Raw genomic sequence first — 20933 nt, forward strand, 5'->3', positions numbered from 1 at the left:
AAGTACCTCACATAAAGACATCCGGGAATACATGTTTGAGTAAATGAATACCCTCCTCATTGAAGAATAGATCTTAAGTGGTCATTTCATGACTGCTTCTATCTAGGCATTTACATTTGTGCCTAGTTTGAAACCACTTTCATTGCTTGTTACGAATTAAGCTTATTCACCCAAACTACAGAAAGGCTTTTAAAAATTTTTTCCTTTGGACAAAATTTGTCTCCTGCTCAGTCCTTTTCTGCCCATAACAGCATTGGCCATCCCCTGCAATGATTGTATTTATTTAACAGTTCTTCCTGCTTCCCTGCTATGGCCTTTCAGACTTCCCCACAGGCACAGAGCCCCCAGACACCTGGCAGGGTAACTATCAGCTGTTCTTTGTATTTGGGGCATATAGGGGATCTGTGTGGCTTTGGTTTCTCAATAGAAAATGACATAAACGCAGAAATACTTTGCAGGCTGCTACAGGAACAAAGGCAAACAGACTTGTTTGTTTGTTTCTGAGACCAAACATTTTTCTGCCAATCAAAACTGGTTTTATTTGCATATAGTGTATCATAAATTGTTGTAATAATTGAATAATTCCCAAGGCATGTACTCTTAGGAAAAAAAGAGGAAAATAGCTTAGAAATAAAATGTGGACAAAAAGCATAAGCTGGTGAATGAAAAATGAGAAATATTGCCATGTAGTAAAGATATAATATTGTGAAGTCTACCCAGTATCAAATGTATGGTAAAAACTAGGGAAGAGGCTGGCACAGTGGCTCACACCTGTAATCCCAGCACTTTGGGAAGCCAAGGCAGGCAGATCCCTTGAGGTCAGGAGTTCGAGACCAGCTTGGCCAACATGGCAAAACCCTGTCTGTACCAAAAATACAAAAATTAGCCTGGCGTGGTGGTGTGCATCTGTAATATTAGCTACTCAGGAGGCTGAGGCGGGAGAGTCACTTGAGCCTGGGAGGCAGAGGTTGCAGTGAGCAGCGATCATGCCACTGCACTCCAGCCTGGGTGACAGAGCAAGATTCTGTCTCAAAAACAAAACAAAACAAAAGGGGAAGAAAAAATGTAAGCAAGTTATAGAGGCAAGAAGTTCAACTATGTGAGATTATTTGTGATTATCCCAGATGTGACTGGGAAGAGATAGAAAAGTAACAGTGTTAGTTAAATCTCCATGGATTCTTTGCCTCCATGCCAAATATCATGACTATCTAACTAATTACTCCCCCCGACTCCCAGCTTCCCCACCACCCCGACACTATCACCAGATACACACAGATACATACTATGTCTTTGTATATGTAAAATGAAAATCATTGCAGGACATCATGCAGTAGCAGTGTTTTTCATGAAAGGCTGTGAGTTACATTGGTCTGAAAGCAACACATCCGTCATGGCTGTTTTCACTGGCGACTTTCTTCTGTCTAATGTTTGCAATGAAGGCTTGGCTTGAAAAGGCTTATGAATTCTTTTAGCACAACCTTTGTTGGGAAAATGAATTACAAGTGGTTCATTTGATGCTGATCCTTTTGTCATTGCCATTTATAGCTATTCTGTTTATTCACTTTGGGAGAGCCATTCTGAGAATTGATGAATGTGTTTTATGAGAGAATATAAGAGCCCTGCAATTTGTTTTGATTGGTCTCCATTTGGATTCATAGCGAGCAGGTGCCATCGTTTGGAATTGGTTTTGGCAGTGGCTTGGTTATATAAATATTAGATACATGAAGTGAAACCTCATTTAAATTATTTTCATCAGTAAGAATAGGAGAGCTTTACATTGAATGTAAGACACCATAGTTCTATTTTTACAGCTTCTAAGCATACAAATGTGTAACATACCATATGTCTGAACATATGTATGTAGAAGTGGCCTCCATTGTACAAATATTTAACATACAGATTTTCTGCATTTCTTTGAGAGTTTATGCAAATATTCTTTAAAAAACTCTAAGCCTATAGTTTCTTAATATAAGAATTTTTTCTGGTCTGAAAAATACAGGCATTTCTGCTTTGGAAACTATGTTAAGGATTGTTTCAGTTTGGTGTTTTTTTTGTTGTTTAAGCCTCAGAAAATAACCCAGCACATTTTAAACCTTTGCTTTCTCCTGCTTTTTGTTGTTGTTGTTGTTACTGTTGTTTTTGTTGCCAAACCCACATTAAAAAAAATACCACGCCTCTTTGTAAGGGCTCTAGAAGAAGAACTATAATACTTCCTATCTTCCCAGCAAAACTGTTTACCAGGCTGACGTTTTCCTAAGAATAGCTCCCTAGGTTTTCATGAATCCATATAAATTTCCACACATTTGTTTTTTATTCTGGCACAAAATTTAAGAGGGACTTACGATCATAGGTGGAAGGAGCAATGAGGAAGTCTGTTGGTAACCCTTTAGGTAACATCCTAAACCTCGGGCTACTTGCGGGCAAATTGTTAAAATGCAGGACTCATGATCTCTGAGTACACCCATGAAAATTTAAATACCCTTCACGGTGCTGGGTCTTTTTGTAAGCAAGCCAACACGGTGCCCAGACTCTTTTCCACCCTCTAGCTCTCAACCTTATGTCCCCAGCAAACGGCTCTAAGTCCAATTTCAGTGTTCTTCATAAGTGAAGCTTTCCATGAGCCCCACAGGCTGACTTATGCAGTTCCTCCTCCAAAAACCCAGAGTAAAGGACATGCCACATTGTAAATTGTAGCCACTGCAATGCCTGTCTCTCCTGCTAATAGGATTCCTTTGAAGACGAGTACCTGTCCTTGTCATTATGGCCCCGGGCCTAGCTTACTGCCTGACATGTTATGCTCCATAAATGTTCATTGAATGAATGAAAGAGTGAATTTATTTGGTGTTAGGTAATAAAAATGAATTCAAAAGAGCATAAATAAAACAAAAATGATTGACTTTAACATGCAGGTGTGACCAAGGCCCAAATTATCTTCCAATTGCTTTGTCTTTCGGGAAATGCGCTAGGAAATGTTAACATACACAGCCTGAATGGCATGAAAATATTTGAATATGGCTATCCTATTGGAAGCCCAATTCCCATAGGGCAAGTTGCACTCATAATGACCAAATAATCAATGAGTCCTCTCCTCATTCCAAAGAGGATTTGAAGTGAGGCCCTACCTAAGAAACTTGGCAGAGGCACCAAAACAAAAGCACTATCTAATGGAGTTAGCGCAATTCATAATCGAAGAGAAGTGGACAGCAGCAGAGATGGACATGAAACCCAGGCCTTCGGAGGCCTATCCCAGCGTTCTTCCAATTCATTCTTGTTGCTTCACTTTATCAGTGTTTAATAAAGTGTTTGTTTTTATGGGAAGATGAGTAAGGACTCGTGGCTAGTGTCCCTTAACCTCTTGTGTCTACAGATTGGCCTACTTAGTTAAGTGATTAGGTAATTAGCAATTCTCCCACTTATTTGGCCATGTATGAGAAGCAAACTCATCTGTGGCAAATTAAAAATACTGAGTTTTATGGCCCTAGTTGGGGAATTAGAGGTTGAAAGGGTTGCTTCTGACTCACATATGGCCCCCAGGCACAATATATCTAAAACTTTCGGTAACTATAGAGTTTTAAAAAGCTCCTCTACCACCTTTTCAATTAAGACATGCCCTCTGGGTTGAGGCTTACTGATGTAGAACAAGTTTTATAGGAAAAAATTATGTAAATTAATATAATTGGCTAACCTTTTGATTGCACTTACAAATTGAAAAATGCGGTGCAATATTGATTAGACAATCTTCTCATTGTTTTTAAGTAGGAGAAAACAAGTAAAAGAGAGAGGTGTATGGTGGAAAGAGCATTAGTTTTGAAGTCAGACAACCCTGGATCAAATCTCAGCCCTACCACTTGACTGGACTCCAGGAAAATCATCCCAAGTCACAACCTCGCTCCTCTCCTTCCTCCTAGACTTAATGCAGGGGCTGCAGTAGACCCTGACTACTTGGTAGTGATCTATTTAAGCTCTTAACGGATTCCCAGAGCTATAACAATAGAAACGTGTGTACCAGTTCCTAGCCTACCTCCCAATCCACATTTCCATTGAGAATCATGTTTCTCAGGCTTATTCCCCTACTGCTTTCCCACTTTCATTATACTTTCTGTTTTGTTTTATGGCCCATCATTGGGTCGTTTGTCCTTAGAGCCATTCCTTACTCTTCCTGTGTTCTGTATCACAGGGAAGTCATCCCATATAGGATGCATTTCTCAGGCTTCCTATGGGCTCAGATGCTTTTCATGAGGTTGGTCTCTGGGAGCCATAGACAGGGATTGGCGGGTAGAAGGTAGATGAGAAAAACCAGGATGTTCTCCCCCAACCTGTGTGTCTTAGGTGGCATCTCCAATAGTGACTGTCTTCTCCATGCTTCTAAACATACCCCTCCTACTGCAGTTCCAACTTCTGCCAGTCAACCCCCGTCCTGATGTTCTGACCCCAGCTGACCTCTGCTTTTGAGGTCTGTTAACACCACCTTCTCTTGTGCCTGCAGCCCTAAAAGCAATAGTGGCATCATGTTGATTGTGATCTGTTTCATCACCATCTCTTGCTTAGCTTTTCAGTTCACCCATCACTTTTATAACCAATTCCATGTATTAAATATCCCCTCTTTAATATACCCAAAGTGGTTTCTGTTTTCCCTAATAGACCCTGAAAGCAATCCTGAAGTGATAAACTCTCTTTATTGCCTTTTCTGGTCACAGTAGCTTAGATGATCCCAAGCCTGTGAAGCGTGCTGAAAATACTGACTCCCTAGGTCTACCACGCAGAGGTAGTGATTCCCTGGTTTCAGTGTGTGGCCCCAGAAGCTGAATTTTCAAAAAGCTTCCCTGGTGGTTGTAATGCCCAGCACTGATTTAGAGAATGGCAAAGCCAGGCTGAGATGGAGGTGCGTGGGGTGGGAATGGATGGTTGCTAGGTTCATTCACCAACTAAGGGCGTCACTTTTACAAACCAGCCTCACAGCAAGAGAGCCCAGCTCAGCAAAATTAAAATGACTGCATCCCATGGACTTTATAGGACACTTACAAGTGTCAAAATAGCACATGTTAAATTGGGGAGTGCCAACGGATTCTTTGAAGAATAAATGAAATCACATATGTGGCAGCATTTCACACATCGTAGTTGCTCAATACATGATCTTCCCTTCTCTCAAATTGAGTGAAAACATAGAACTATAGAAAGCTATGAAATAGTATAAATTATTTATTCCTTAAGGTCACAGAATCCAGATACTAAATACCAGAAATAATAGATAAGTAACTACATAGTCAAAAAAAAGTCATTGTCTGGCACATATTATTGCTCACTGAGCTGGTGCTAAACAGTCCAATCATATGACACCATAGGTTAGCTCTCTTTCATATCAGAAATAATTTTTGAAAATAAGTTTTAACTAGGACTCTTGTGTCAGATTACATAGTAACATCTTCTAAGGAGACATGAACCTTGTGAGTATGTCCTTACTTGGCCATTGGAATTTCTGCATTCCAGGCTCTTGCCAGAGACTACAACTTTGAGTACTCCACTGTCCAATTCTTATCAAAAGACTGGTTAGGAGAAATAATATTCATGGAGGACTGCCTGAAAGATATGCAGCCTGTTCATTCCTCATTGAGATAACCTAAATTCTATTTGTGGTTTAAGTCAGGTTATCACATAGCTTCCTATTTGGATCTCCACGTATTTACTTCTTGTCAGTTTCTCTTTACTGGGGAAGATGAATGAAAAAAGGCACATCTATCATTATGGAATTTTGAACAATGTTAAAAGAGAAGACCCTCAGAGGTTTCCAGACAGAGAAAACCAGCATGCTTCTAGCGCAGGGAGCATCAGACTAACATGAAACTACTCATCTACAAAGTGGGAAGTAAGCAGTAAGCAATACAGTATTTACAGAGAGATGGGACAAAAGACCTGTGAGCCAAGAATCCTGCATTGGCCAAGAGCTCTATTCCTACATAAGTGCAAAAGGAAGACATTTCTGGACATGGAGTTACTCAGACTGGGCCATCTACATGCCACTTCTGAGAATTGAATCAGGACATAGGTGTCAAGGTAGGAGGAGATGAAGAGCCAAAGAGAGAGTGATGAGCAATGAACGTTGCAAAACTTATGGTCAAGTCTAAATAAATGATCATAATGTGACTACGAAGTCCAAATTGTTCATTAAGATTTCTTAAAGTGGAAGAGACGTGTTGACTATGAGGAGATATTTAGTAGCTTAGAGTGGAGCAGGCAATGAAAGAGTAAAAATATTCCAAGTATCTCTACCTATGGACAAGAAAGAGAAAAGAGATGTCATGGATTGGGTTCTCTGGAAGCAAGCACTGGCACACAGTTTTGGTTGCAAGATTCTTAGTAGGAATTAACACCCGTGTATTATGTTCCCTAGAAAGATATGTTGAAGTCCTAATTTTCAGTACCTGTGCATGTGACCTTATTTGGAAATAGGGTCTTTGCAAATATAATCAAGTTAAGATGAGTTCATGAGGGTGAGCTCTAACCTAGTATAACTGGTGTTCTTATAAGAAGAGGAAAATGCCACATGAAGAGGGAGACACATGGAGAGAAGCGCTAAATGGTGACAGAGGCCAGGGCTGGAGTAACACAGTGGCAAGCCAAGGGACTCCAAGAAAGATGGCTACCACCAGAAGCTAAAAAGTAGCAAGGAAGAATTCAATCGAGTCTCAGAGGGAGCATGGCCCTGCCAGTACTTTATTTTGGACTTCTAGCCTCCAGAACTGTGGGAAAATAAATCTCTGTCATTTGAAGCCACCCAGACTGTCGTACTTTGTAGCGACAGCCCTAGGAAACTGATAAAACCTGTAAAAAGATGAGGGAAGGCGCACAAAATGAAAGTCCCACGCAAGACACACAAAGCCTGGGCCACCTTGATGGGGAGCTGGAGGAAGAGTGCCACCGTGCCACTCAGTCACAAGAGGTGACTGCCCCAGGAAGGCCATGACCTAGGCTAAACTGGCTCCCTGCAGAGGCATGCAGTAAGGCAGTCTTCCCTTCTTACAGGAGATCTGGGTAGCTCATCTCCATGTCTACACAGCAAGCCGAGCGAAAAAATGGGCAGCGAAAATAGTGTATAGTCATTTTGCTTTCTTAATTGAAAAACAGGTTTTTAAATGATTTAAAATCAAAAAGATAATATGAGCAAACCAGCAAAGAAATAATGAGTAAAAATAAGTATAGTAACAACAAATGTAATTAATAGTAAACAAAACATTGTTATAGGCATTGCCTTTATTTCCTGACCAACATAGTTCTGGAATGTATAAGGCAAAAAAATGAAGTAGACATACAGGAGAACATGGCAAAACTATAATTATATTAGGGAATTTTGATATAATTATTTCATAATTTGGCCGGGCACGGTGGCCATGCCTGTAATCCCAGCACTTTGGGAGACTGAGGCAGGTGGATCACTTGAGCTCAGGAGTTTGAGACAAGCCTGGGCAACATAGTGTGAGACCCCATCTCTACAAAAAAATTTAAAAAATTAGCCAGGTGTGGTGGCGTGCACCGGTAATCCCAGCTACTCAGGAGGCTGAGGTGGGAGGATCGCTTGAGCCCAGGTGGTGGAGGTTGCAGTGAGCCGAGATCATGCCACTTCACTCCAGCCTGAGCAACAGAGCCAGACCCTGTCTCAAAAAAATTAATAATAATAATTATTTCATAATTTGACAAAGTAGACAAATAATGATACAGGTTCGTATTTGTATATAGTGTTTATACCCTAAAAACACAGAATCTGCATTTTTCTCTTTTGTCTATAGAAGGTTTACAAAAATCTATTTCTATGGCCACAGGAAAAAACTAAATGAATTTGCGGAGAAAAGCTATTTTACTCATCCCCTTTTTTATCCCACTGTGATAAAACAAAAAATTGACAGTGAAATAATAATAATAAGTAAAATGTAAATGCTTGAAATTAAGAAGCCTTCTTATAGATGATTCCTGGATCAAATTGAAAATCAAATACAAAATGACAAATTCTCTGGAAGTTAATTAAAAAGAACATTTCACATCAAAACTTATGAAGAAATTGTTAATGCATTTAGGAATACTTTATAGCCTAAATGCTTTTGGTACTATTAAAAAAAAAAAGAGTGAAAAATAAGCTAAATATTGCATCTAAGAAATTTTTTTAAGAATCAGAAGAAAGAAGGTATTATTAATGACGAAAGCTAAAATTAATGTAATTGGCCTCAAAACAATTAAAAGGAGAGAATCTGACTAATGAAAATATGTATATAATATAAAGAATGTACATATACACATGCAACATTAGGAATGAGGAAAAAAAATTGCCCAGATCCCGGAAGGATTAAAATAAGTCAATAAGACAATGTTATGTTCAGGTTTATGGCAATAAAATTTGAAATCTAGAGGAAATTGATGTTTTTCTAATAAACTATAAATTACCAAAATTTGATTCAAAGAAAGGTTATAAATCCCGAGAGGAGTTATAAACAGAAAAAAACGTGAGTGCGTATAAAGAAAGCCTTCCAATTTTATGAAAAGTATAAATTCTTTCATACCAAAAACTGATAAAGATGGCCACAACGGTTGTTCAATATCACTTATGAAAATATGCTTTTAAGAAGATTAAGAAATCAAATCAAAGATTTATTCTAGAAACATAAGGATTTTTAATTTTATATTTTTATATTTCTAGAAATATAAGGATTTATATTTCACTTTATTTAAAAGAGTGACAAATGAAAATATCCAGGAGTGAATTTAGTAAGACATAAGACAAATTTTAAAAAAAGATTGTAGTGAAAGACAAACTAACATTTGAAGAAGTAGAGAGCTATACTATCTTTTCAAATGAGAAAACTTATGATCCTAAAGATAAAAATTGTTCTAAAATAACTATATATAATCCCAGTCAGAATCCCAACTTGGAAGATAAAAGTGTTGTCAGCTCAGTCAACACGATTTTTTTGTTTGTTTGTTTTTTGTTTTTTCGAGACAGAGTTTCATTCTTGTCGTCCAGGCTGGAGTGCAATGGCCCGATCTCGGCTCACTACATCCTCTGCCTCCCAGGTTCAAGCAATTCTCCTGCCTCAGCCTCCCGAGTAGCTGGGATTACAGGCACCTGCCACCCCACCCAGCTAGTTTTTGTATTTTTGGTAGAGACAGGGTTTCACCATAATGGCCAGGCTGGTCTCGAACTCCTGACCTCAGGTGATCCGCCCACCTCCGGCTCCCAAAGTGCTGGAATTACAAGCGTGAGCCACTGCACCCAGCCCAATCAACATGTTTTTAAAGGCCACATAAAAATATAAATGCAAGAAAATTTCCAAACTTGAAGGAAAAACAGTCAGCATGGGGAAGTCGTGCCAGCAGGCATCAAAGCATACTATCATGTTACTGCATTTTAAGCAATATGGCATTAGCTTAGGAATCCACAAGTCAATGTTTGGAACAGAGTAGATGCCATAACTAAATCAATGTATATAGGAAAACTTAATGTATGCTAAAGGTGGCTTGTCTTTCTGGTAAGGAAAATATCATTAAGTAAATGATTTGGGGGCAATTAGGTGTCCATCTGGGGCAATATTCCATTTGGATTAGATTCCATTTGAAGTAAGAGCTAATATTAAAGATGGACCCATAAAGCTATCAAGAGAAAATATGGGAGAATACATGTATAACATCAGGTTAGGGGGAGCTCTCTTTCATAATCCATCTTCCAAAAAGGAAAAATTGCAAGATAGTAAATTTATAATCCATAAAGGAAAAATTGGCAGATTTGACTGTGTAAAAATTTAAAATGTCTATGACAAGACACAATAAATAAAGGCAAAAGAAGAATAATACTTGCAACCTCTAGGACAGAGCTAATGTTTAAAATACTAAGAGGTCTCACAAATTGTTTATAAAAGAAAGATAAAACAGCCCAGTATAAAAATAGTCAAAGGGCATGAACTGGAATTGTAAATCACCAATAAACCTGTGAAAAGAATCAGCCCCGTTAGTAGTGAGAGAAGGCGAATTAAAACCAGAGATGCCTATCAGGTGAGCAAACACTTTTAAAGATGGCGAACACCAGTGCTGATCAGTGTGTCAATAAGCAGGCACTCACCATGCACATTTGGGCTGATTGCTTCAACCTTTGCACCGGAAAGAAATGTAGCAATAGTCATTCAAATAGTTAACATGCTTATTATGTTTGGCCCCACAGTTATTCCACTTCTAGGATTCTTTCCCACAAAAATAAAAGTACTAGAACATTAAAGATGTTTGAATAAGACTGTTTATTCCTGCTCTGGTTAAGGTAGCCAAATTTGGAAACAGTCTGCATGTTCATCCACAGAAGAGTGATTGGTTAAACAATGGTATGTCCATCTTGTGAATATATGCAGTTATTTTTAAATGAGATAGATATATAGATTTTTAAAATATTTTGATAAGAGCAAGTGGCAGAAATAAATGTGTGTGTGAAAAAGCATAGGGAAGATTTTGAAAGGCTATAAAACAAACAGACTGTTTATATTGGCTATCGCACGGTGGGGGAGATAAGACCTCATTCTTTTTTTTTTTTTTTTTTTTTTTTTAAGAGACAGAGTCTCACTATGTTGCCCAGGCTGGTCTCAAATTCCTGGCCTCAAGCAACCCTTCTACCTTAGCCTCCCAAAGTGCTACGATTACAGGCGTGAGCCACCATGCCTAGCCTAATTCCTTTTTACTTTATACCTCTCTACATTTTTAAATTGATTACAATAAGCAAGTATCTCTTCTGTATAAAACATAATTATAGCACAACAGCTTTTTTGAACTTTTCTTTGAAGTTGTGTCATCTAATCAACCCTTATGGAAATCACAGGTAGTTTATCATAGGGATAATATTGAAAAATTGTCCACATGTCACATGGTGTCACCTCTGTGAAGATCCATAGGAGAAATTTCCACTCCAGCTTGAATCTCCAGATACCTGTGGTTCATTTGAGCAACTGCTTTGCTTTTATCTTTTGCGCATTGTGCATCTGGTAACTGATCGTATTTTCCTTTCCTCTGGAAACCAGGAATCTCAGAGTCAAGTTGTAGACTGTAAAGTTTATTCAACAACCATACCAGACTCTGTGGCTTATGTTCTATGCACAGCCCTTGCTGATGGAATCATCTTGCTCTCCATGTTTATTTTCCCTCACCCACATTCCTTCCTTTGTTTTAATTTTAACTGCTTATGTTGCATGTATCCCTATAGCTACCTCTGATCTTTTTTGGGAGATGTAGTAGGGATATGAATAAATGATGACCAGAAATTTCTATTTTAACAGAAACCTGGCAAAGAAAACGGTCTCGACAATGAGTAGGCCACCCATCACTACTAACTACAGATGACTTGCCATTTCATTTACAAAGGTAAGGAAATAAAGTCTGTATTTTTAATTAATTCTGATCAAATCAGTATAGAGCCCTTACCTTTTTATTGTAAATATTTTTACAAATATTCTAAAACATATATCTAGCTCATAACCTTTAACTCTGACATCAAATTTGAATAAAACATCAAGCAAACAGAAACAAGAAATTTTATGAATTTTGGCATGCCAGAAGGGTTAAAAAAAAAACCGAGATGTGGTCTCTGTTGTTAATTACTATGTGTGTTAAATTTTTAAATAGTATTTTCCTTATTTTTAAGTGTAGCAGTGTTCACTGTAGAATACTTGGAGAATCTAACAAAATATAAAAATGAAAACCTAAAGCATTTATAATCCCATCATCTGTAGATAATCACCAGAACTTCTGAGAATGTCTTTCCTCCTTCCTTTTATGTGTACATGGAAAATACACATGATTATAACTTCAAAAAAAATTTTTAGAGACGATGTCTCGCTGTGTCTTTCAGGTGAAATTCATATAACATAAAATTAGCCATTTAAAAATGAACAATTCAGTGTTCATTTTTAGTACAGTTTAGTACATTTACAATGTTATGCAACCACTACCTCTATGCAGTTCCAAAACATCTGCATCACCCCAAAAGGAAACTCAGTGCAGTCAGCCCTTGGTATCTGCGGGAGATTGATTCTAGGACCTGTGGATACCAAAATATACTCAAGTCCCTTATCTAAAATGACACAGTATTTGCTTTTGTTTCTCTTTTTGAGACAGGCTCTTCCTTTATTGCCCAGGCTGGAGTGCAGTGGTGCGATCATGGCTCACTGCAGCCTCAAACTCCTGGGCTCAAGCAATCCTCCCACCTCAGCCTCCTGTGTAGCTGGGAAAATAGGTGCAAGACATTGAACCTGGCTAATTTTTTATTTTTTATAGAGATGAGTTCTCACTGTTTTTCCCAGGCTGGTCTCATACTACTGGCCTAAAGCAATCATCCCATCCTGGCGTCCCAAAGTGCTGTGATTACGGGTGTGAGCCACAATGCCCAACGTAATTATATAATGTTTTTTAAAACAATGTTTTGAATTCATACTTACCTTGACTTCATTAGTTACAGATGATGTGGTGCAGAAGCATAGCAAGTCTAAGAAGAAACAGTAGTCATCATTGTGACCATTGTAATGGCCCTTTGCAGTTTACCAGTACATCCCCAAGCATCTTATTTGTCCCTGCTACATGGCCTCTCCGACTCCAATGCCCCTGGTTAATAGGTTTATGTGACCTTTGTTAAACATCACTCTACAGGAAAAATAAATGAATAACTCTTGAATCCAGATGATAGTTCATGGCCTTCGTTTATCATTATTTTATGTTTTGTGCTGCTTAAAAGGAAGTGTTTTAAAAAAAAATAGAAGTTTACCTGTTTTTCTCCTCCTCTTCCCTACTGTCAAGTCAGGGATGATTCACAAAGTAATAAAAAGTACTTTAAGACCATCTCATCCTCCGTCCTTCATTCATGCCAGTTAGTTAACCTCTCATTAAGGTTGTTTTTTTAAGCACCCTTCAGAGTTGCTCTTGTAGTTTTTTGGTTTTAAAAGCTGCAAAGTCTTAAAAGTGAAATTACTGGAATGGCATTCTTTAGGGAGGTCTTCATTCTGTTGGCTCTGTTAAACAGTTGAAGGCCTGTATTTTACCCTGAGCCTGATACATAAACCATTTTAATTCTTCTGGCATTTTTATTCAAAACTGACCTAATATGATTATAAAGAGACTAGAAAAATGAATTATTCTTTAAGTCAATTTAAGCTGATACAGCATGGAAAACAATAGTTTGTGAAACATCTGTCCTGGAAGACTCTATTCTAACACGGACAGATTAAATAGATGCAAATAGAATTGCAAAATTATGTAAGAGGGTGGTTTGATTGGTGGGCAGTACTAGATCTAGTGAGGTTGGCTCACCGTGATTCTTGCGTTTATTTTCCTGGATGGTTTTTAGTCATATCAAGCTCATGGCAGTGTGGGTAAACTCAGTCACTTAGTTCCAAGGCACAGAAATGGTTGATGAATCCCTAGGTTTAGCATATGCCGTGTTTATTAAAAGCCCAGAATTTAAAGCATGCTTCAAAAGCGTAAAAGAAAGTCAGAAATTTTACCCTTCCTTGGTGTATTAAATGTTCTGCATGCAGTTTAAGGTAAGACCCTTAAATTATGGTTCCCTAATTATGAAGTTATCCTTGTTTACCACAGAAGTAGCATAACTGGCTTTAAAAATTCAGATGAATTATAGGTCACATGTGAAAATCTTATCATTAGGAAGAGAGAGAAACACATTTGAAGATCAGATCTCCCAATGAAAAAACATATTTTATCTTAAGGCATTAGAATTCACAAAGATACGCAATAGTTTTGAGTGTGTAAAAATGTAAACTTCTCTATATCATAATTATGAAACAAGTTAAAAGGACACGGTAAGCTGGGCACAGTGCCTCATGCCTATAATCCCAGCACTTTGGGAGGCCAAGGCAGGAGGATTGCTTGAGCTTAGGAGTTCGAGACCAGCCTGGGCAGCATGGCAAAACCCTGTCTCTAACAAAATAATTACAAAAAATTAGTCCCAGCTACTTGGGAGGCTGAGGTGGGAGGATTGTCTGAGCCTGGGAGGTCGAGGCTGCAGTGAGCTGTGATGGCACCACTGTACTCCAGCCTGAGTGATAAAGTGAGACCCTGTCTCAAAAACAAACAAAAAGGCAGATACTAACACAGAAGAATATTAATAATGCACTTGGCAAGCAATTAATGACCTTAAAACATAAAAATAAGCAAACCACTAGTATGAATAACCATAATAGGTAAAAATCAATATCAGAAACATTAAGACCTCCATAGATAAATGGACGAAACAATGGAAGACTCGAAGAAATACAAAGAACTAAAACTGATGTGAAAACAATGTTAACCTTCACCAGTAATTTTCACAGATGCAAATTAAAACCAGGAGATGATTTCTTTTACCTGTCAGATTAGCAAAGCTGTTTAAGATGATAACAGTCATTACTAAATGTGTAATGAAACAAGCCCCCACTCACTGCTGATAGCAGTGTGAATGAGTATACTCTTCTGGAAATAAATTTACCAATATGTAGTAAAAGCTTTAAATTTTTTAATACCCTAGTATGCCCTAGCAGTTCCAAGAATTGAGTCCAAGAAAACATTGAAGTTAGATAAAGATATAAGCATAAAATAATTATTGTACTATTTGCAGGAGCAAAACTCTTTGAGCTGCCTCAACTATCCTTCAATATTAGCATTGACTAAAGTATTAACACACAGTGGTGTCCACACAGTGGTATATCTTGCAACTAGAAAAAAATTATTCTTACAAAGATATTTTTGTAATCAAATGGGAAAATGTTTATTACATAAATGTTCAGTGAAAAATACTGGGTAAGATAGTATTGTAAGTTTTTTCATATGAAAATACACATAATAAAAGGTAGAAATAAATATGACAAAATGTGAATAGAGGAGTTGCCCAAGGGTAGTAGAATTGAGTAATTTTTTTGTTCTGACTCATATTTTTTGGTACTTCCCAGATAATTTTACAGTGAGCATGCATAACCAGAAGAAAAGTTTTTTAAAAGGCTATGTAGCCTGGGCACGGTGGCACATGCCTATAATCTCAGTTACTCGAGAGGCTGAGATGGGAGGACTGCTTGAACTGAAGAGTTTGAGGCTGCAGTGAGCCATGATCACACCACTGCATTCCAATTCCAGCCTGGGTGATAGAGTGAAACCCCATCTCTAAAAAAAAAAAGCTTTGTAGAAAGAAACTTATACACATGTACATGCTTTCTTAGAGCATATGGGATAAAATATATTACGAAAATGTTTTAGATTTATTTTTGAAAGATTAAGGAATGCAGATTTCTTTTTTAGTATTCTGAAATGTTTCTGTCTTCCTTAGGAACAACAGCAATAGCAATAACAAAAACATACTTAACTAAAATAGATCCTTTGGTTAGCAATATTATTAATATATTGTATTTCAGAGTAACATTGAAGTTCAAAGGGCAGTGTGTTTCTCTTGTAGATGTCTTCTGCTGCTGAAAATGGAGAGGCAGCACCTGGAAAACAAAATGAAGAAAAAACCTATAAAAAGGTGAGTGTGCATTTTATTTTCTAAAGAGGAACACCGTTTTGCTGTTTGGCACGTGAATATTATCAAAGGCCTTTCCTTCTCCCAAGCAGTTGTAAGTTACTATCTTAGTTTCCAGTTGCTGCTATAACTAATTACTGCAAATTTAGTGGCTTAGACAACATACATGCATTATCTTATAGTTCAGTGAGTCAGAAGCCTGACATGGGTCTCCCTGGGCTGAGATCCATGTGTTTGCAGAGCTGTATTCCTTCCTGGACACTCCAGGGGAGAGTCCACTTCCTTGTCTTTTCCGGCTTCTAGAGGCTCCCTGCGTGCCCTGTGTCATGGCTCCCTGCCATCTTCAAAGCCAGCAATGGCCGGTGGCGTCTTTCCCAGGCTGTATCACTCTGACACTTTAAAGGGCCTGTGTGATTGCATTGAGCCCTCCTAGGCTCACAGAAATATGGGAAAATATTAATAAAAATTAATATTCTTTATCTAAAAGGTCAGCTGATTAGCAACGTTAATTTCCTCTGCAACTTGAATTCATTTTTGCCTTAGAAGGTGACATATTCACAGGTCCCAAGGATTAGAGCATGGGAATCTTTGGGGGTCAATTCACCATAATATAGAATATTGAGTGAAGAGAGTTGTTTGAAGACCCTTCTTATTCCTAAGAAGAAGGCTCCTGAGGGCATGCAGTGTTCTGTGTATAATATATGAATCCTTTAATGGACTCACTACTTTCCACCAACATTTAAAACATTTCCTACCTTTGTATTTTAAAACTTTTAAAATGTGAGATGCTCCTCTTCCCCACCTTTTCTAAGCCGCTCAGATTTTATGTCTTCAGCCCATTTCACAAAAAGTCTTTTTCCAGACTTCCTAATGTATCTTAACTTACCAGTCTTTGATAAATTCTCGACTCCCAGCTACCAAGCTAATGTTCAAACACGTTACTGGGTAAAATATGTTCCCAAGCACCTCTACTCCTGATTATAAATTGACTATACATTTTAGCTTTTCAAAGTTCTTGCTATTTTGCCCTCTTAAGAGTAGGAGGTTTGTGTATTGAAGGTTTATTATTTCTTAATTTTTCCTTTTATACTTTGATGGACAGCCTGCAAGACGTTTAGTCATAAAGTACATGAGCTATGGGCTCTGACCACATATTCAGGTCATGGAACTAGCATGATGTATTTTCTATTCCATTTTCATATGGGAGAATGTGCCCTTTTTCCTGGCATATCTTCTTTATCTGATTTTTCCACTCAGCCAAACCTTGAAATACAAACTGGGAGGTTGTCATTCAAAGTGATGGTGTGGTTGGAAAAGAGTTGGGTAAAGATTCAAGAGCTCAGAAGTGCCGCAGTATATTTTATAAAATTTGTACATTGGGCCAGAGGCAACAATACACTATTATTTATTTTTAGACACAAGTGAAAAACCAAATCCTGTCTCGTTTACCCAAGATTCCGTGTACATTCATTCAAGCATGGACCAACACAGAGATGATTACGTTGCTAGCCTGTTATTACTTCAGATCAGTTTCAGGTGGTATTCTCAATCAGCATCAAGATGCACTGAAATTCTTGACCAAATTCTGACTCACAGGAGATCCTTTGTCGCTGCAAAAGTTATAGAAAAAATGTGACCATGACATCTCAGAGTTTGCTAAGTGTACCCTGCCCAAGAATTTATTTAGTCAAGCAGGTTTTCAATAATTAGTATAGGTAATTCTATGATTAATGTCTCCAGTAGGATATTTAACTCAGCAATGTTTTTTAGGTTGTAAAAACTAAAAATCAAATTCTATGGTAGGAGAAATAAGGAAAGACACAGAAAACCTAAGGGGACCAGAAATTTTTTTTAATGAACAATTTTTTATGTGTAATAATATCAGGATCTTATTAATGATTTCTGGTTTTAAAAAGTATAAGCAATGGAAGGAGATGTACGTAGCCTCTCTTAAAAAGCACCAAGAAGACCAGCACAGCACTTAGAACTTCAGCCCTTAATAAATATGGTATTGATATGAATAGCAAGAAGAAGGAATCGCTTAGAGAGAGTGTTGTTTTACTGGCAGGTAAAAGCTCAGCTGAATTATTCGGTTTAGTTCTCTGATCTTCAAACTAGAGAAGGTGTTCATGGTGGACTTAGGAGTTAGCTATTGCAAATGTGTTTATCTCCAGGTCCAGATAAACCATTTCCCAGATGAAAGAACTTAAAGCTAGAATAGGAAAACCTCTGAATGTGAGCTTTAAATGAATTTCAGAATGGGAAAATTGTCAGAAAACAGGACATAAGCAAATATTATTCTTATTTTCAAAAATGAGGAAGAGTACATTCTGGAAACCAGATTATAAGTGAGACATTATTCCCCAGTATAATTTGAGCATTATTATTAAACATATGGTTTATACATATTTAGAGAAGAAACATATCTTTTACAAACCTGGAGAAATTCATAAAGATGTAGTTTATTTCAAACTAACTGCATTTCCTATTTTGAGAGAGTCATTAAATTACTCATAAAGAGTATGTTCAAATTTAATGAGTCTTGATTTAAAGGTGTCTAAAAGATTCGCTAGTCTCCTTTCAGACAAGGTGGATAAGTATGGGTTAAATATTATGTTTATTGTGTTTGTATCTGGTTGGACTGATGGTCTCGAAAACTGGCAATTTTGCTCCCTGTTCACTCGGTTTCCACCAGCATGATGCATGAGTTGGCCCTGGGTAGCTTACCATGTTCACCCATGACCTTAATGAAAGCATAAAAGCAGTGCTTTGCAAATGCAAATGACAAAAAAATTGTAAATGATAGCAAACAGACTACACAAGTGTTGTCAAGGCCACCATACATCTTATTCCCTTTACAAATACCTTAAATTTCTTTCCCAGTCCTGAAGCCCTGATCATAAGGTATGCACAGATTTACTAAGAAGCTTTGATGACCCATTGTGTTTTTGCATTGACTGAAGCCAGTCCATGGATCCCAGGTTAAGGCCCCTGGTCCTTTATGCTAGGAGTGAGAAATATACCACAGGAGTTTATAAGTAGCTCACAGTGGAGTGGGAGAGGCAAGACATGAAAACAGTTTTAGAACACAGTAGTCTATAATGAGGAGTTCAAAAGGGAAGAAACCAATGTTGTTAGAATTAAGCAGCAGGTTTAGGCTTTCTGTATGGAGCCCCAGATTTACTGGGCAGCTGCCAGTAACATTCAGCGTCATGAGTGCTATGATTTCCACGTGTTATTAGGGAACACTCAGTGTTCATGGGACAACTTTACACTTTGCGTCTCAGCTATTTGCATGTGATTATTGAGGCTGGCTGCCTTTTGTCTTGCAGTTGACCATTTCCTGAATCCATTCTCAGTTCTTGGCAAGCCCGGGAAGAACAGCTAACATTGGTCCGTGAGGTTAATAATGTCTTCAGCTAATGGCTAAAATAAGAAGTTTGATTTTAGCTGCATAAAACAAACAAGTTGCCCATTAAGACAGGCATTAAAGGCTGCCTGGCTATATTTACAGAGTGGAGTATTTCCATTATCAGTTAATTTATTGAGTGCTTTCCGCAAGAGTTGTAAATGCAGAAGCCTACTGGGGCCAGGCAGCAAAGAAGGGAGTGAGAAAACGAGGGGACCATGGTAAACAGAACCCACGCCTTCCTTAAAAGGGGCAGCAGGCAGTCAGCTCTAGCCAACAGAGCTATGAATGAATGCTCGCCCAGGGTTGCCAGATACTCTGATGTTTTTCAAGAAAAGAGAGATGAAGATTTTGATATGAAATCTGCCATTTTTAAATAACAGCAACTAATTCAAATGTTTTTAAAAATACACTCTGGGCAAAACAGTTTGCCTGCAGGCCCTATCTGTCCCGTAGGCAGTGGCCAGTTTACAACCTCTGACCTCCCTGTTGGTGTAAAAAAGTGAGAAGAAAAAAGGAGGATGCAAAAGAAGTGTAAGAACTTGTCTCTGCCTCCCCTGACCTTACAACTTATTTGGGAGAAAAAAGAGGGACCCACATGAAAAAATTAAATCTTGACCCAAATCGGTGTTGAGTAAGTGCCAAGACAAGTGGTATTTCTCTTTTATTTTTATTTTTTTGAGATGGAGTCTCACTCTATCGCCCAGGCTGGAGTGCAGTGGCACAATCTTGGCTCACTGCAACCTCTGCCTCCCGGGTTCAAGCGATTCTCCTGCCTCAGCCTCCCGAGTAGCTGGGACTACAGGTGCATGCCGCCACGCCTGGCTAATTTTTTGTATTTTAGTTGAGATGGGGTTTCACCATGTTGCCCAGACTGATCTCGAACTCCTGAGCTCAGGCAATCGACCCACCTCGGCCTCCCAGAGTGCTGGGATTACAGGTGTGAGCCACTGGGCCCGGCCAAAAATTCCACTTTTTAAGTGACTGTGCATTCTGATTTACCTACGTGTTTGTCTTGATGTCAGGGAGTCCAATGAGCACAGGCACAGAAACAGGGAGGAGCATGATTTGTTGGCATTACAGGAGAGGCTGGCCTGGACAAAGCTAAGTGGTGGTGTCTGGGGAAAGTAGTAGGCAGTTTTGGAAGTATGGGCTGGCTCTAAATGACAGCTACCCTTGGGTGCTGGTTTGAGGTGTTTGGATTTTATGTTCTAGGCCAGTGTTGTTCAACGGAACTTCCCGCAATGATGGAAATGTTCTATAATTTGCACCAATGCGGTAGCCACAAGCTATGTGTGGCTATAGGGCATTTGAAATGTGGCCAGTGTGTCTGAGAACTGTAATTTTTAATCTTAATTTTAGTTAAATTTAAACTTAAATAAGCACACGTGGCTGATGACTGCCATGCTGGGGAGTGCAGTTTTCAGGCGGTGATGTACTGTAACATTGTTGTAGGGGCTAGTGACAAATGAAAGGCCTGTGCAAAGCCAGTGGCAGAGCACAAGTTGTACAGGGTTGAGGGAGATGACACGGGAAGGCTTTTGTGTTAGTTGAGCAACAAAGTTGGGTGCAAAGTTGAGTAGGAAAAGATGTGGGGAATATTTTTGAAAAGAAAATTACATTTCCAATCAGTGCGACTACCAGAAGTTTTCTGCCATTGGTGGAACTAGGGAAGTTTGGGAAAGAGTATTGTGTTATTTTGGGATTTTGTTTGTTTGTTGTTTAAAAAGGCAAGAGACCTAAAAGGAAGCAGGAGGCGCAGGGCACGAGTTTACTTGAAAGAGGATGGTCTCAATGCAAGTCAAATACTGATGCTAGACATTCAAGTTTTGTCTGTTTTATATGTGAAGAAATGACCCAGCCCCACCTCTCCAAAACAAACAGATGTCAGGGTGGTTCAGTGACATATGCCAGGTTACCTTGCAGTTCTTTGTTAGGAAGATGATTAGAAGCTCCAGTCACATGATGTCCCATGTTGTCATTTGTCCGTTGGACTGGGTCAGTGTTTCC

At 38.5% G+C, this 20933-nt stretch overlaps 1 protein-coding gene across 14 annotated transcripts in view, besides 1 other annotated feature; it reads left to right on the forward strand.

Annotated features, from left to right (window-relative positions):
• Nucleotides 1-20933, forward strand: part of PIP5K1B (phosphatidylinositol-4-phosphate 5-kinase type 1 beta) — a 303937-nt gene that overhangs the window by 101927 nt on the left and 181077 nt on the right. For all 14 annotated transcript variants that reach the window (XM_017015189.2, XM_047423951.1, NM_003558.4 and 11 more), the window contains 2 exons: nucleotides 11295-11379; nucleotides 15449-15517. In XM_017015189.2, the coding sequence (XP_016870678.1) occupies nucleotides 15449-15517 (69 nt within the window). In that variant the 5' untranslated portion in view covers nucleotides 11295-11379. The remainder of the gene's footprint in view (nucleotides 1-11294; nucleotides 11380-15448; nucleotides 15518-20933) is intronic.
• Nucleotides 18349-18850: an enhancer, noted in NCBI's record as "NANOG-H3K4me1 hESC enhancer chr9:71440431-71440932 (GRCh37/hg19 assembly coordinates)". NCBI's record gives its function as "activates a minimal SCP1, AML or CMV promoter by ChIP-STARR-seq in naive H9 embryonic stem cells {active_cell/tissue: H9 hESC(naive)}" and the evidence as "EXISTENCE:reporter gene assay evidence [ECO:0000049][PMID:30033119]".

This window comes from Homo sapiens, chromosome 9 (assembly GCF_000001405.40).
Source record: "Homo sapiens chromosome 9, GRCh38.p14 Primary Assembly".
NCBI lineage: Eukaryota > Metazoa > Chordata > Mammalia > Primates > Hominidae > Homo > Homo sapiens.